Source organism: Homo sapiens, chromosome 9 (assembly GCF_000001405.40).
Source record: "Homo sapiens chromosome 9, GRCh38.p14 Primary Assembly".
In the NCBI taxonomy this organism is placed as follows: Eukaryota; Metazoa; Chordata; class Mammalia; order Primates; family Hominidae; genus Homo; species Homo sapiens.
Window position 1 is genome coordinate 90,684,678 of NC_000009.12, and position 15,261 is coordinate 90,699,938.

At 42.0% G+C, this 15,261-nt stretch overlaps 1 annotated feature.

Moving 5' to 3' along the window:
• Window positions 649–818: an enhancer, noted in NCBI's record as "experimental_109028 CRE fragment used in MPRA reporter constructs". NCBI's record gives its function as "activates a minimal promoter by MPRAs in K562 erythroleukemia cells, with activity observed for both the introgressed and non-introgressed 9:93447693 variant alleles {active_cell/tissue: K562}" and the evidence as "EXISTENCE:reporter gene assay evidence [ECO:0000049][PMID:34662402]".

The following is a 15,261-nucleotide window of genomic DNA, read 5'->3' on the forward strand; positions in this document are numbered from 1 at the left end:
AAAAATGTGTTGTTGGCTAATAATACCAGTGTGCGGTCCCAAGACCTGGAAACATGGTCAAAAGCTGAGCTTTCGTATTTTTGTTTCTATGTGATTCTCTTATGAATACAAGCATTTGGCATTTCCCTGCAGTTAACATTTTATGTTCTGAAGCTTTTTATATCCCAGTATGTCTCCTTTTTAAATAGGCAGCTTGGAGAGCCCTGGCTCATATAAGTGAGTGCAAAAACCTTGACGTTGTGATGATGCCTTTAGCAAGTGTTGACTTGGAAGAGATGAGGGTGTGGGAGGGTTGCAGAGCAGGCTGGCTCCCCATCCCCTGGCACCTCGCTGGCATCTGTCTGCCTTGTGTTTGATTGCATACAAGATTTGGGTATCAGTACATTGCACCATGGACAGTAAACGAGGATCCTAGAGTCAGGGCTCACGCTAATTGTTGCCACTTCAGAAAATCTTTCTTGGCACTATAAGAGTGAAACAAAAAGAAAAAAGCTCATCGCACTAACTTCTGCTTTGCAGAGGCATTGCTCTAAGCATTTGTATTATCTTGTTTAAATTCCATGACAGCTATATGAAGAAGCTATCATTATCCTTTCATTTTAATAATGTGGAAACCAGGTACAGAGAGGTTAAGTAACTTGTCCAAAATCACCCAGCTCAAAAGATGTAGAGCTTTACTACTCCACTAAAAAGCACATTTGGCCTTATTTTGGCACAACCAGCATTCAAAAACGTCAGTTTCTCGAATCTCCTCTGTCACCCAATGAGCTCCAATGCAGAGGAGCAGACCTGGGCAATGTGTGTAGCGAAAAGCATCAGGAAACAGAATTGAGGATATTATGGAGGCTTAACAAGAGGCTCTAGAAATATCTAGAAGACTGTAGAAATATAGGGATATAGAATCCAGTTCTCCATTTTCATGACTATCTTGGAACCATATCCCCCAGGCATGGGTTTAGAAAGAAACACAACATTCTAGAACAGTCACCTTTGTGAAGCATAAGCTATTTTTGTTCATTAATCAGTCGCATTCTTTTCTCTTTCTTTTTAAAAGAAAGTCTCCTAGACAAGCCATAAATAATGTTAAAATGTTCCTAACATTGAAAAGCTCAAGCCATGATTCCCTATTTATGTTTCCCTAGCTTTGCAAAGCAAATTGAGCAGCTAGGAAAGAGGACAATTTTTATTTTTGAAAATCAAAATGTTACTTGATGTTAAAAGCATGTTTTCAACCATCAAGCACAAACTCCAATGTGCCTTAAGCCCAAGATGGAGTCAGCAACTCCCTTCAGTCATGCCAGCTGGAACTCAGGACCAGGCACAGAGCAATCACTTATCCTAATTGGGACTGCAGGCTGGTGAGGAGTGCAGATCACCTCCTGGTTTCTCCTTTTCTTCTTGCAACCAGGAAAATGCAATTAAAAAAAGATATTATACATCATAGACACTTTTGACTAAGAATGAGGGGAGACCAATCTCAGATTTAAAACCACTGGGGGAATCCAAATAGGTTATCAAATTCTGCTTCAGTATACATCATGTTTAAGCTTAAGAAAAATGTTTTTTTCCCTGAGTTAAAAATAAATATATTTGGTGGGGATGGAGCCAAGATGTCCAAATAGGAACAGCTCCAGTCTACAGCTCCCAGTGTGAGTGATGCAGAAGATGGGTGATTTCTGCATTTCCAACTGAGGTACCGGGTTCATCTCACTGGGGAATGCCGGACAGTGGGTACAGGACAGTGGGTACAGCGCACCGTGCGTGAGCCGAAGCAGGGCGAGGCATTGCCTTACCTGGGAAGTGCAAAGGGTCAGGGAATTCCCTTTCCTAGTCAAAGAAAGGGGTGATAGATGGCACCTGGAAAATAGGGTCACTCCCACCCTAATACTGTGCTTTTCCAATGGGCTTCACAAATGGCACACCAGGAGATTATATCCAGCACCTGGCTCGGAGGGTCCTACGCCCACAAAGCCTCACTCATTGCTAGCACAGCAGTCTGAGGTCAAACTGCAAGGTGGCAGCGAAGCTGGGGGAGTGGCGCCCACCATTGCCCAGGCTTCAGTAGCTAAACAGAGTGGCCAGGAAGCTTGAACTGGGTGGAGTCCACCACAGCTCAAGGAGGCCTGCCTGCCTCTGTAGGCTCCACCTCTGGGGGCAGGGCACAGACAAACAAAAGACAGAAATAACCTCTGCAAACTTAAATGTCCCTGTCTGACAGCTTTGAAGAGAGTAGTGGTTCTCCCAGCACGCAGCTTGAGATCTGAGAATGGGCAGACTGCCTCCTCAAGTGGGCCCCTGACCCCCAAGTTGCCTAACTGGGAGGCACCCCCAAGTAGGGGTAGACTGACACCTCACATGGCTGGGTACTCCTCTGACACAAAACTTCCAGAGGAAGGATCAAGCAGCAGCATTTGTGGTTCACTAATATCCACTGTTCTGCAGCCACCGCTGCTGACACTCAGGCAAACAGGGTCTGGAGTGGACCTCCAGTAAATTCCAACAGACCTGCAGCTGAGGGTCCTGACTGTTAGAAGGAAAACTAACAAACAGAAAGGACATCCATACCAAAAACCCATCTGTACGTCACCATCATCAAAGACCAAAGGTAGATAAAGCCACAAAGATGGGGAAAAAACAGAGCAGAAAAACCAGAAACTCTAAAAATCAGAGCACCTCTCCTCCTCCAAAGGAACGCAGCTCCTCACCAGCAACGGAACAAAGCTGGATGGAGAATGACTTTGATGAGTTGAGAGAAGAAGGCTTCAGAAGATCAAATTACTCCAAGCTAAAGGAGGAAGTTCGAACCAATGGCAAAGAAGTTAAGAACTTTGAAAAAAAATTAGATGAATGGATAACTAGAATAACCGATGCAGAGAAGTCCTTAAAGGACCTGATGGAGCTGAAAACCACTGCACGAGAACTACGTGACGAATGCACAAGCCTCAGTAACTGATGCAATCAACTGGAAGAAAGGGTATCAGCGATGGAAGATGAAATGAATGAAATGAAGCATGAAGAGAAGTTTAGAGAAAAAAGAATAAAAAGAAATGAACAAAGCCTCCAAGAAATATGGGACTCTGTGAAAAGACCAAATCTATGTCTAATTGGTGTACCTGAAAGTGACGGGGAGAATGGAACCAAGTTGGAAAATACTCTGCAGGATATTATCCAGGAGAACTTCCCCAATCTAGCAAGGCAGGCCAACATTCAAATTCAGGAAATACAGAGAACGCCACAAAGATACTCCTCGAGAAGAGCAACTCCAAGACACATAATTGTCAGATTCACCAAAGTTGAAATGAAGGAAAAAATGTTAAGGGCAGCCAGAGAGAAAGGTCAAGTTACCCACAAAGGGAAGCCCATCAGACTAACAGCTGATGTCTCAGCAGAAACTCTACAAGCCAGAAGAGAGTGGGGGCCAATATTCAACATTCTTAAAGAAAAGAGTTTTCAACCCAGAATTTCATATCCAGCCAAACAAAGCTTCATAAGTGAAGGAGAAATAAAATACTTTACAGACAAGCAAATGCTGAGAGATTTTGTCACCACCAGGCCTGCCCTAAAAGAGCTCCTGAAGGAAGCACTAAACATGGAAAGGAAAAATCGGTACAAGCCACTGCAAAAACATGCCAAATAGTAAAGACCATCAAGGCTAGGAAGAAGCTGCATCAATTAACGAGCAAAATAACCAGCTAACATCATAATGACAGGATCAAATTCACACATAACAATACTAACCTTAAATGTAAATGGGCTAAATGCTCCAATTAAAAGGCACAGACTAGCAAATTGGATAAAGAGTCAAGACCCATCTGTGTGCTGTATTCAGGAAACCCATCTTACATGCAGAGACACACATAGGCTCAAAATAAAGGGACAGAGGAAGATCTACCAAGCAAACGGAAAACAAAAAAAGGAAGGGGTTGCAATCCTAGTCTCAGATAAAACAGACTTTAAACCAACAAAGATCAAAAGAGACAAGGCCATTACATAATGGTAAAGGGATCAATTCAACAAGAAGAACTAACTATCCTAAATATATATGCACCCAATACAGGAGCACCCAGATTCATAAAGCTAGTCCTTAGAGACCTACAAAGAGACTTAGACTCCCACACAATAATAATGGGAGACTTTAACACCCCACTGTCAACATGAGACCGATCAACGAGACAGAAAGTTACCAAGGATATCCAGGAATTGAACTCAGCTCTGCACCAAGAGGACCTAATAGACTTCTACAGAACTCTCCACCTCAAATCAACAGAATATACCTTCTTTTCAGCACCACACCACACCTATTCCAAAATTGACCACATAGTTGGAAGTAAAGCACTCCTCAGCAAATGTAAAAGAACAGAAATTATAACAAACTGTCTCTCAGACCACAGTGCAATCAAACTAGAACTCAGGATTAAGAAACTCACTCAAAACCGCTCAACTACATGGAAACTGAACAAACTGCTCCTGAATGACTACTGGGTACATAACGAAATGAAGGCAGAAATAAAGATGTTCTTTGAAACCAACGAGAACAAAGACACAACATACCAGAATCTCTGGGACACATTCAAAGCAGTGTGTAGAGGCAAATGGCAAATTTATAGCACTAAATGCTCACAAGAGAAAGCAGGAAAGATCTAAAATTGACACCCTAACATCACAATTAAAAGAACTAGAGAAGCAAGCGCAAACACATTCAAAAACCAGCAGAAGGCAAGAAATAACTAAAATCAGAGCAGAACTGAAGGAAATAGAGACATAAAAAACCCTTCAAAAAATCAATGAATCCAGGAGCTGGTTTTTTGAAAAGATCAACAAAATTGATAGACTGCTAGCAAGACTAATAAAGAAGAAAACAAAGAAGAATCAAATAGACACAATAAAAAATGACAAACGGGATATCACCACCAATCCCACAGAAATACAAACTACCATCAGAGAATACTATAAACACCTCTATGCAAATAAACTAGAAAATCTAGAAGAAATGGATAAATTCCTCAACACATACACCCTCCCAAGACTAAACCAGGAAGAAGTTGAATCTCTGAATAGACCAATAACAGGCTCTGAAATTGAGGCAATAATTAATAGCTTACCAACCAAAAAAAGTCCAGGACCAGATGGATTCACAGCCGAATTCTACCAGAGGTACAAGGAGGAGCTGGTACCATTCCTTCTGAAACTATTCCAATCAATAGAAAAAGAGGGAATCCTCCCTAACTCATTTTATGAAGCCAGCATCATCCTGATACCAAAGCCGGGCAGAGACACAACCAAAAAAGAGAATTTTAGACCAATATCCTTGATGAACATTGATGCAAAAATCCTCAATAAAATACTGGCAAACCGAATCCAGCAGCACATCAAAAAGCTTATCCACCATGATCAAGTGGACTTCATCCCTGGGATGCAAGGCTGGTTCAACATGCAAAAATCAATAAACGTAATCCAGCATATAAACAGAACCAAAGACAAAAACCACATGATTATCTCAATAGATGCAGAAAAGGCCTTTGACAAAATTCAACAACACTTCATGCTAAAAACTCTCAATCAATTAGTTATTGATGGGACATATCTCAAAATAATAAGAGCTATCTATGACAAACCCACAGCCAATATCATACTGAATGGGCAAAAACTGGAAGCATTCCCTTTGAAAACTGGCACAAGACAAGGATGCCCTCTCTCACCACTCCTATTCAACATAGTGTTGGAAGTTCTGGCCAGGGAAATCAAGCAGGAGAAGGAAATAAAGGGCATTCAGTTAGGAAAAGAGGAAGTCAAATTGTCCCTGTTTGCAGATGACATGATTGTATATCTAGAAAACCCCATCGTCTCAGCCCAAAATCTCCTTAAGCTGATAAGCAACTTCAACAAAGTTTCAGGATACAAAATCGATGTGCAAAAATCGCAAGCATTCTTATACACCAATAACAGACAGAGAGCCAAATCATGAATGAACTCCCATTCACAATTGCTTCAAAGAGAATAAAATACCTAGGAATCCAACTTACAAGGGATGTGAAGGACTTATTAAAGGAGAACTACAAACCACTGCTCAATGAAATAAAAGAGGATACAAACAAATGGAAGAACATTCCATGCTCATGGGTAGGAAGAACCAATATCGTGAAAATGGCCATACTGCCCAAGGTAATTTATAGATTCAATGCCATCCCCATCAAGCTACCAATGACTTTCTTCACAGAATTGGAAAAAACTACTTTAAAGTTCATATGGAACCACAAAAGAGCCCGCATTGCCACGTCAATCCCAAGCCAAAAGAACAAAGCTGGAGGCATCATGCTACCTGACTTCAAACTATACTACAAGGCTACAGTAACCAAAACAGCATGGTACTGGTACCAAAACAGAGATATAGACCAATGGAACAGAACAGAACCCTCAGGAATAATGCCACATATCTACAACTATCTGATCTTTGACAAACCTGACAAAAACAAGCAATGGGGAAAGGATTCCCTATTTAATAAATGGTGCTGGGAAAACTGGCTAGTCATATGTAGAAAGCTGAAACTGGATCCTTTCCTTACACCTTATACAAAAATTAATTCAAGATGGATTAAAGACTTAAATGTTAGACCTAAAACCATAAAAACCCTAGAAGAAAACCTAGGCAATACCATTCAGGACATAGGCATGGACGAGGACTTCATGTCTAAAATACCAAAAGCAACGGCAACAAAAGCCAAAATTGACAAATGGGATCTAATTAAACTAAAGAGCTTCTGCACAGCAAAAGAAACCACCATCAGAGCGAACAGGCAACCTACAGAATGGGATAAAATTTCTGCAACCTACTCATCTGACAAAGGGCTAATATCCAGAATCGGCAACGAATTCAAACAAATTTCAAGAAAAAAGCAAACAACCCCATCAAAAAGTGGGCAAAGGATATGAACAGACACTTCTCAAAAGAAGACATTTATGCAGCTAAAAAACACATGAAAAAATGCTCATCATCACTGGCCATCAGAGAAATGCAAATCAAAACCACAATGAGATACCATCTCACACCAGTTAGAATGGCGATCATTAAAAAGTCAGGAATTTTGGGAGGCCGAGACGGGCGGATCACGAGGTCAGGAGATCGAGACCATCTTGGCTAACACGGTGAAACCCCGTTTCTACTAAAAATACAAAAAATTAGCCGGGCGTGTTGGCGGGCGTCTGTAGTCCCAGCTACTTGGGAGGCTGAGGCAGGAGAATGGCATGAACCTGGGAGGCGGAGCTTGCAGTGAGCCGAGATCTCGCCACTGCACTCCAACCTGGGAGACACAGCGAGACTCCATCTCAAAAAAAAAAAAAAAAAAAAAAAAAAAAAAGTCAGGAAACAACAGGTGCTGGAGAGGATGTGGAGAAATAGGAATACTTTTACACTGTTGGTGGGACTGTAAACTAGTTCAACCATTGTGGAAGTCGGTGTGGTGATTCCTCAGGGATCTAGAACTAGAAATACTATTTGACCCAGCCATCCCATTACTGGGTATATACCCAAAGGATTGTAAATCATGCTGCTATAAAGACACATGCACACGTATGTTTATTGCAGCACTATTCACAATAGCAAAGACTTGGAACCAACTCATATGTCCAACAATGATAGACTGGATTAAGAAAATGTGGCACATATACACCATGGAATACTATGCAGCCATAAAAAATGATGAGTTCATGTCCTTGTAGGGACATGGATGAAGCTGGAAACCATCAGTCTCAGCAAACTATCGCAAGGACAAAAAACCAAACACCGCATGTTCTCACTCATAGGTGGGAATTGAACAATGAGAACACTTGGACACAGGAAGGGGAACATCACACACCGGAGACTGTTGTCGGGTGGGAGGAGGGGGGAGGGATAGCATTGGGAGATATACCTAATGCTAAATGACGAGTTGATGGGTGCAGCACACCAACATGGCACATGTATACATATGTAACAAAGCTGCACGTTGTGCACATGTACCCTAAAACTTAAAGTATAATAATAATTTTAAAAAAAGAAATTTAACACAATAAATAAATAAATAAATAAATATATTTGGCATATTGAAAAACAAAAGTTTCTTTCACACACTCAAACTAAAAGCTGTAATTTTTACCAGCTTCCAAACTACCAGTAAAATCGGTCAGTTTTCACACTAAATCAAGCTAATTTGGTGAAAGTAAGACTCAAATCAAATTAATTTATGTAATTTTACTAATCCCATATGCAAATGGCAATGTTGAAAAAAAAAGTGACCTGGGGTATGATTATCATTTTCTCAAGCTTTATTGAGGTATAATTGACAAAAGTTGTATATATTTAAGGTTTACAATGTGATGGTTTGACATACATTGTGAAATGATTACTGCAATCAAGCTAATTAACCTATCACCTTACAGAGTTTCCGTGTGTGTGTGTGCGCGCATGTGTGCGTGTGTGTGAGAGAGAGAGAGAGATGAGAATACTAGAGATGAGAATACTTAAGATCTGCTCTGAGTAAATTTCAAGAGTACGATACATTATTATTAACTATAGGCACCATGCTGTACAAGAGATCTCCATAGGGTGGAATTATCATTTTGTTAAAGAAATTTTTATATATGTATTTTATTCTACCAGAATTTTACACATGTGCACACACGCATACACATTGCATGAACGTGTGGTCTTTAAAAAAAAAAACAAAAAGTACTTTTCATATCTCCTTTATATGACTGTTTAAAATTACCAGTAAATTATTTTATCTATGTAATATAAAGTTCCCTTCTAAACAGTAATCTACGCCCTTCAGTTACATTGTTATACTGCAAGACTAAGAATTATCATCCAGCTCAATTTAAATATGGATTATATTAAATTAATCAACTTATTGTTATTGGCTATAGTTCTTTAAATAAAAGAAAATTCTTCCTTCTATTCAGGATGATGTGACAGGGTTGTAAAACCTTAGTCATCTGGCCAGAGAAACGTCTTCTAAAGTTTGTAGCCCCATGATATTTTCAGAATAATTAGATGGCAGCCACCAATCAAGTGTCCTTTGTGAAGAAAGCAAAGTTCGTCAATTTATTCAGAGCACATTCTCAAACCAGAGCAGAGCTTCAGCACATCAATTAGGGTGTTTGAAGAATTCCCTCAACTCTCAAGACCCATTTACTGTATAAGACAAAACTTACAGCAAGGACGATAGGAGAATGTGTATTTTCTCCTAACAAAATGGGTTCTGAAATTTGTAACTAAACATAATTAATAAAAAGTATATGTAAAATATGTAAACTACACATGCAAAGTATCTGCGTGTGTATGGGTGGTGTGTGGGGGGGTAAATGCGTGTGTGAGCATAGGTATATGTGATGTGTGTGTGTGAATGTGAGTGCATGTGTGTGAATTTGAGTGTATGTGCGCATGTGAGTGTGTGAGTGTATGTGTGACTGTAAATGTGTGGGTGTGTGTGTATGTTTATGAATGTGCATGAGTGTGTGTGAATGTGAGTGTGCGGGTGTATGTGTGTGAATGTGAGTGTGTATGTGTGAGAATCTGAGTGTGTGAGTGTATGTGTGACTGTAAATGTGTGGGTGTGTGTGTATGTGTGTGAATGTGTATGAGTGTGAATGTGAGTGTGTGGGTGGATGTGTGTGAATGTGTGTATGTGTGAGAATGTGTGTGCATGTGAGTGTATGTGTGACTGTAAATGTGTGTGGGTGTGTGAATGTGTATGAGTGTGTGAATGTGAGTGTGTGGGTGTATGTGTGTGAATGTGAGTGTGTATGTGTGTGAATGTGAGTGTGTGTATGTGACTGTAAATGTGTGTGTGGGTGTGAATGTGTATGAGTGTGTGAATGTGAGTGTGTGGGTGTATGTGTGTGAATGTGAGTGTGTATGTGTGAGAATGTGTATGAATGTGTGTGAGTATATGTGTGACTGTAAATGTGTGGGTGTGTGTGTATGTGTGTGAATGTGTATGAGTGTGTGTGATGTGAGTGTGTGGATGTATGTGTGTGAATGTGAGTGTGTATATGTGAGAATGTGTGTGAATGTGAGTGTGTGAGTGTGTGTGACTATAAATGTGTGGGTGTATGTGTGTGAGAATGTATTTGTGTCTGAATGTGTGTGAGTGTATATGTGTGAAGTGACTGTGAGCACATGTGTGTGAATGTGACTGTGTGAGTGTATGTGTGTGAATGTGTGTGGGGGGGTTGTTTGTATCTGTGAATGTGGCTGAGTGCATGGGTATGTGCATGTGTCTGTATGTGTGTGTGTGGATTTGTGTGTGGGTATATGTGTATGTGTGGGGGGGGTGTGTGAATTTGTAGGGGAAATATATGTGTGTGTGGGGTGTGTGTGTGTGTGTGTGTGTGTGTGTGTGTGTGTGTGTATGGCGCTCCTGTAAACCCAGAGGCGGATGGAGAAACGTAGACAGGCAATTAGTAAAGGATTCCCCACAAGAGAGTCAGACCAAAAGGGAAAACAGAATTGCTGAAAACTGGAGGAGTTCTAGAACTTTCCAAGGACAGTTCACATGCATGGAGTCCAGGGTGTTGTTCTAACATGCATGAGAGTGCTGGGTAGGAACAGTGAGAGCTGAGGCCAACTCCCAGCTGGCCACCAGCACAGGACAGTGGGCAAGTTATTTGACTCTTAGTGCCCCAATTTCCTCAACCATAAAACGGGGTAATATTGGTGCATATGGTGAGGAGAAAACAGGCCAAAGCCCACTGGCTGGAAGGGGTTGCCCAGCGCGGCAAGGCACTGTCAGGCCCTTTGAGAATGTGCTGGGTCAGAGAAAGACAGATGGACCAATGGGTGCAGGTTCTGGTGGAGCCCATCAGGTCACCTCGCACGGTGCTGACCAGGGTCAGCTGCCTCTCACCATGAGTCAGGCTGCTGCAAAGTCTCTGTGCTGCTAGTCCCTGGTCACGTCCCTAAGCCACTCTTTCTCTGGCCATAGGTACTTTGCCGGGCAGCTCTGCTCACTGCCTGGTGTCAGTCCTGCGCGTGTCCTCTTCTGACTCTACATTTTCTCCTGTGGTCTCAGCCACTCCTAAATCTGTCCTGATGTTCCCCAAATGCGTACCTAGGTCCACACTTTTTGTGGCTGTCGCATACCTACAGAGAGGGTGGCATCTCCACGTGGACACCCCTCGGGCATCTCAGACTCGTCAAGTTCAAACCGGAGCACCTTGTCATCCCTCCACAGCCTCTGTCCTCTAATCTCTGCTGTCACTGTCCTTCACCTATGGGCACCATCTACCACCAGGTGTATGCTGATCACACCCACTTCCCTCCTCCCCGTCACAGCCCTCATGTTCCCACCCCCCGTGATCTGCTGCTTGGCTTATAAAACTCCCCAACTGTCCCCACTTACCCCTCTCTCATCTATTATTATTATTATTATTATTATTATTATTATTATTATTATTATTATTTTGAGAAGGAGTTTCGCTCTTGTCACCCAGGCTGGAGTGCAATGGCGCAGTCTCGGCTCATTGCAACCTCCGCCTCCTGGGTTCAAGTGATTCTCCTGCCTCAGCCTCCAGAGCAGCTGGGATTACAGGCGCCAGCCACCATGCCTGGCTAATTTTTGTATTTTTAGTAGAGACGGGGTTTCACCATGTTGGCCAGGCTGGTCTTGAACTCCTGACCTCTGGTGATCCACCTGCCTCAGCCTCCCAAAGTGTTAGGATTACAGGCATGAGCCACTGTGCCCGGCCTCTCATCCATTATTTACTCAGCAGCCAGAGTGGCCTCTAACAAATGCACATGGAAAGCTTTGCACGTGCTCCCTCAGGCTCTGCACCATCCCTGCATGGGATTAGTGGTTAATCACCTACGCTGCAGTATCCAGGAGAGAAAGCCCAGCTCCACCACTAGCCAGCTGTGTGACCTGGGAAATTTGCTTAACTTCTTGAGCCTCAGTTATCCCATCTGTAAAATGGGGATAAAAATCATACTTGATTTTCTAGGAATTTTGTGAAAATTATATGGGCTAATCTAAGAAAAGCCCCTAGTAAGAGCTCAGAAACTAAGAACAAGGACTCTTCCTCCTCAGCCACACTTCCCAGCACCTCTGCCCCCAGTGCCCCCAGCCCTTTCCTTCACAGTCCTGGCCTTTTCACATGCTGTTATAACTCCCTGACCTCCTTCTATTCCATTCAGAACCTAACAGTCCTCCCTGCCTTTCAGAGGTCACCTTTGCCTGCATGCCTGATGACTCTCCAATCTAAGTCAGCACAATGCCCCCAGCCCTGAGTTACGCCTCTTGTGATTTCCATTATTTTCTCTGTATAGTAGCCTTTTTTAAAGAGGATGTCACACTTTTTAAAACATCTTAGTTGAACATCCTCACTTTGGGCTTAAGGCCTAAGCACAAATAGAGCTGTCAGCCTGTTCTTCCCATGCTCTGCTAGCAGCAAAAACAGCAGCTTTTGTGACCACGTGGATCACAAAAGGTATGGCGTGGCCAAATGGAGGGAAAAAGCCAATCAAAGGAGCTGCTTAGAAATCCCAGTGACGTCTTTCAAAGAACTGTTCAGAGAGCCAACAGCCACTGGTCTCTAATCAATTCTCCAACAGAAACAGTGTAAGATTTTTAAAAAAATAAAAAATAACACTTTCTTTATTTTCAACCAAGGAAAAATCCCAATTTTGCCTTTCATAAAGTCCAGGCTGTGACCTCTCCAGGGATGTCACCTCCATCATAGGACGCCCCTCCCACTGCTGGGTCATGAGGGATGGGACTGCTCAGCAGAAACGTCTGGACCCAAGAGCAAAATCCTCTACCTGGGCCATTTCCAGTGTGCCCTTTTTTTTTTCCCAACATGTACGTTATGTGCTTCTTCTAATAGATCACCCAAGCAGCTAACTAGCACAACCAAACAACTTCGGTTCTCACACTGTTCCTTAATAATTGCATTTTGATGTCAGCAATGCAGTGTTAATTGCTACAAACTAATGAGAAATGCACAGGATGACTTCATGCGTAAATATGTTCAAGCAACACTATACAAAGGATTTTTATCGTTGTTGTTGCTGTTTTGGTAATGCAAAGCCAGAAGAGAGAGAACAGTGTCATTGTGGAGCACACACTGGTATAAAGATGCCAAATTCTAAGGGATTTGCAGCACATGCATGGGGGCCATGTTGACATTGGGAGCAACAGTTGAGCTTTCTGCTACTGGATGGGGCGTGGTCCCAAGAGCAGAGAGGAAGGGCTGGGGACCCTGTCGAGGAGCATGTCTGGCTGGGCATCCCATGGAGGGCTGCTCTGTGTGCTCCCTGAGCATCATCAGCACAGCAGCCTGCACCCTCTTTCTCAAAGTTCCTCTCTTTGTACCAGAGCCTGCCCACACACCGTTGCTTAAGAGGGGAACATAATTCCGGTTGCCATCAACTGTATTAATTGCTTACCATCTTTTCTCTAATCACCTATATCACAAAATCATCATGCATGCCATTAAGAGGAAGTCCTATTTATCAGTCTACAAGCATTTATTGAGGTCCCTCGCCCCTTAGGAGCTGACAGCAGATGACAGCTGACAATGATGACAGTTGTAATCATTGGCTTTCCAAGACTGCAACCCTCAAACTGGTTCTGAGGTCATCAGCTTCAACAGTTTCTGGTTCACATGGTAGGACTCTATATTCATCATTTTGTAGAAAGAACTAAATGACGAGAACATATGGACACATAGAGGGGAACAACACATACTGGGGCCTTTCAAAAGGTGGAGGCTGGAGGGTGGATGGTGGAGGGTGGACGGAGGGAGAAGATCAGGAAAAATAACTAATGGGTACTAGGCTTAATACCTGGTTGATAAAATGTAATCTGTATAACAAACTCCCATGACACAAGTTTACCTATGTAACAAACCTGTACTTGTACCCCTGAACTTAAAGGTTAAAAAGAGAGAGAACTTTTGCAAAATATCCTTTGTCACCAACATAAGTCCCAAGTGTAAAAGCTTCTCTTTGTGGAATCAGTGGCTAATTTTCATCCATAAAGGTGGCATTTGTCCTTTCTACTCCATCACATCTGACGTCAGTTCAGTGCAACTTTTTAAAAAGATATGCATTCTATATTTAGTTCCAGAAAAGATTCAAGCGGAGTCAAATGACTGTATACAATGCAGTAAGAAAATGTAAAATTAATGAGAGAGATAAGAGAGAATGAGGGTACCAAGTAAAGAATGTAGTAAGAAGTTTGTGGGAAGGGGGTGCTTTCTTTCACTGCAGTGAAACTCACATAATATAACATTTACCGACTCAACTATTTTTAGTGTACCACTGAGTATTAAGAACATTCATAGTGTTGTGCAATTATCACTACCATCCATTTCCTCAACTTCTTCCTCTTGCAAAACTGAAACTCTGTGCTCATTAAACACTAACTACACTAACTCCCTATTCTCCACCCCTCAGTCCCTGGCAGCCATCATCCTACTTTCTGTCTCTAAGAATTTGACTACTCTAGCCACCTCATATAAGTGGAATCTCATAATATTTGCCCTTTCATGACTGGTTTATTTCACTTAGCATAATGGCCTCGGGGCCCATCTGTTTTGTAATGGATCAGAATTTCATCCCTTTTTAAGGTTGAAAAGCATTCCGTCATAGGAAAATACCAGAGATATATAAATGTATCTCTTTTACATGACATACTTTAACCTCTGTGTTCATATAAGTTTCACAAAACACGATCTATGTCATTGTGGAACGTCCGAAATCATGGCTAGGGTAGGAGGTCATGATAGTTGCGAATAGAATTATTGTAAATCCTTTCACAAATAACTGAACTCAACTCACTGATTGTTTTGCTGCCCCCATCCCCGCCGCGCGCACACACACACACACACACACGCACACTTTTATTTTTTCCTTTCCAACTTTAAATTATTCTCGTTTCTCACTATCTAAAAGCTTGGTGTCCCTTCTGGGTTGAAAGTGTTATTATAATTGCTGCTTTTCTGCTGCAGCCATCTCTTAAAAGATTTAAATTAAATGAAAGTATTTCTGACAACTTATAAAATGTGAAACTCAATGTAGAGCTCTGATTACATTTTCTGACAGTGAAGGTTTCTTGGAACGTTATCCATTTAACAGCTATCTAGTGAGTGCCTTGTCCACATCAGGCACTGTTCTTGGGGCTGGGGATTCAGCAAGGAACAGAGACTCTGCCTCAGCCTTTCCAGGCTTACATGCATTTGTGTTCCAGAGGTGAAGACCGACAATAAAATACCAGTAAACAAATG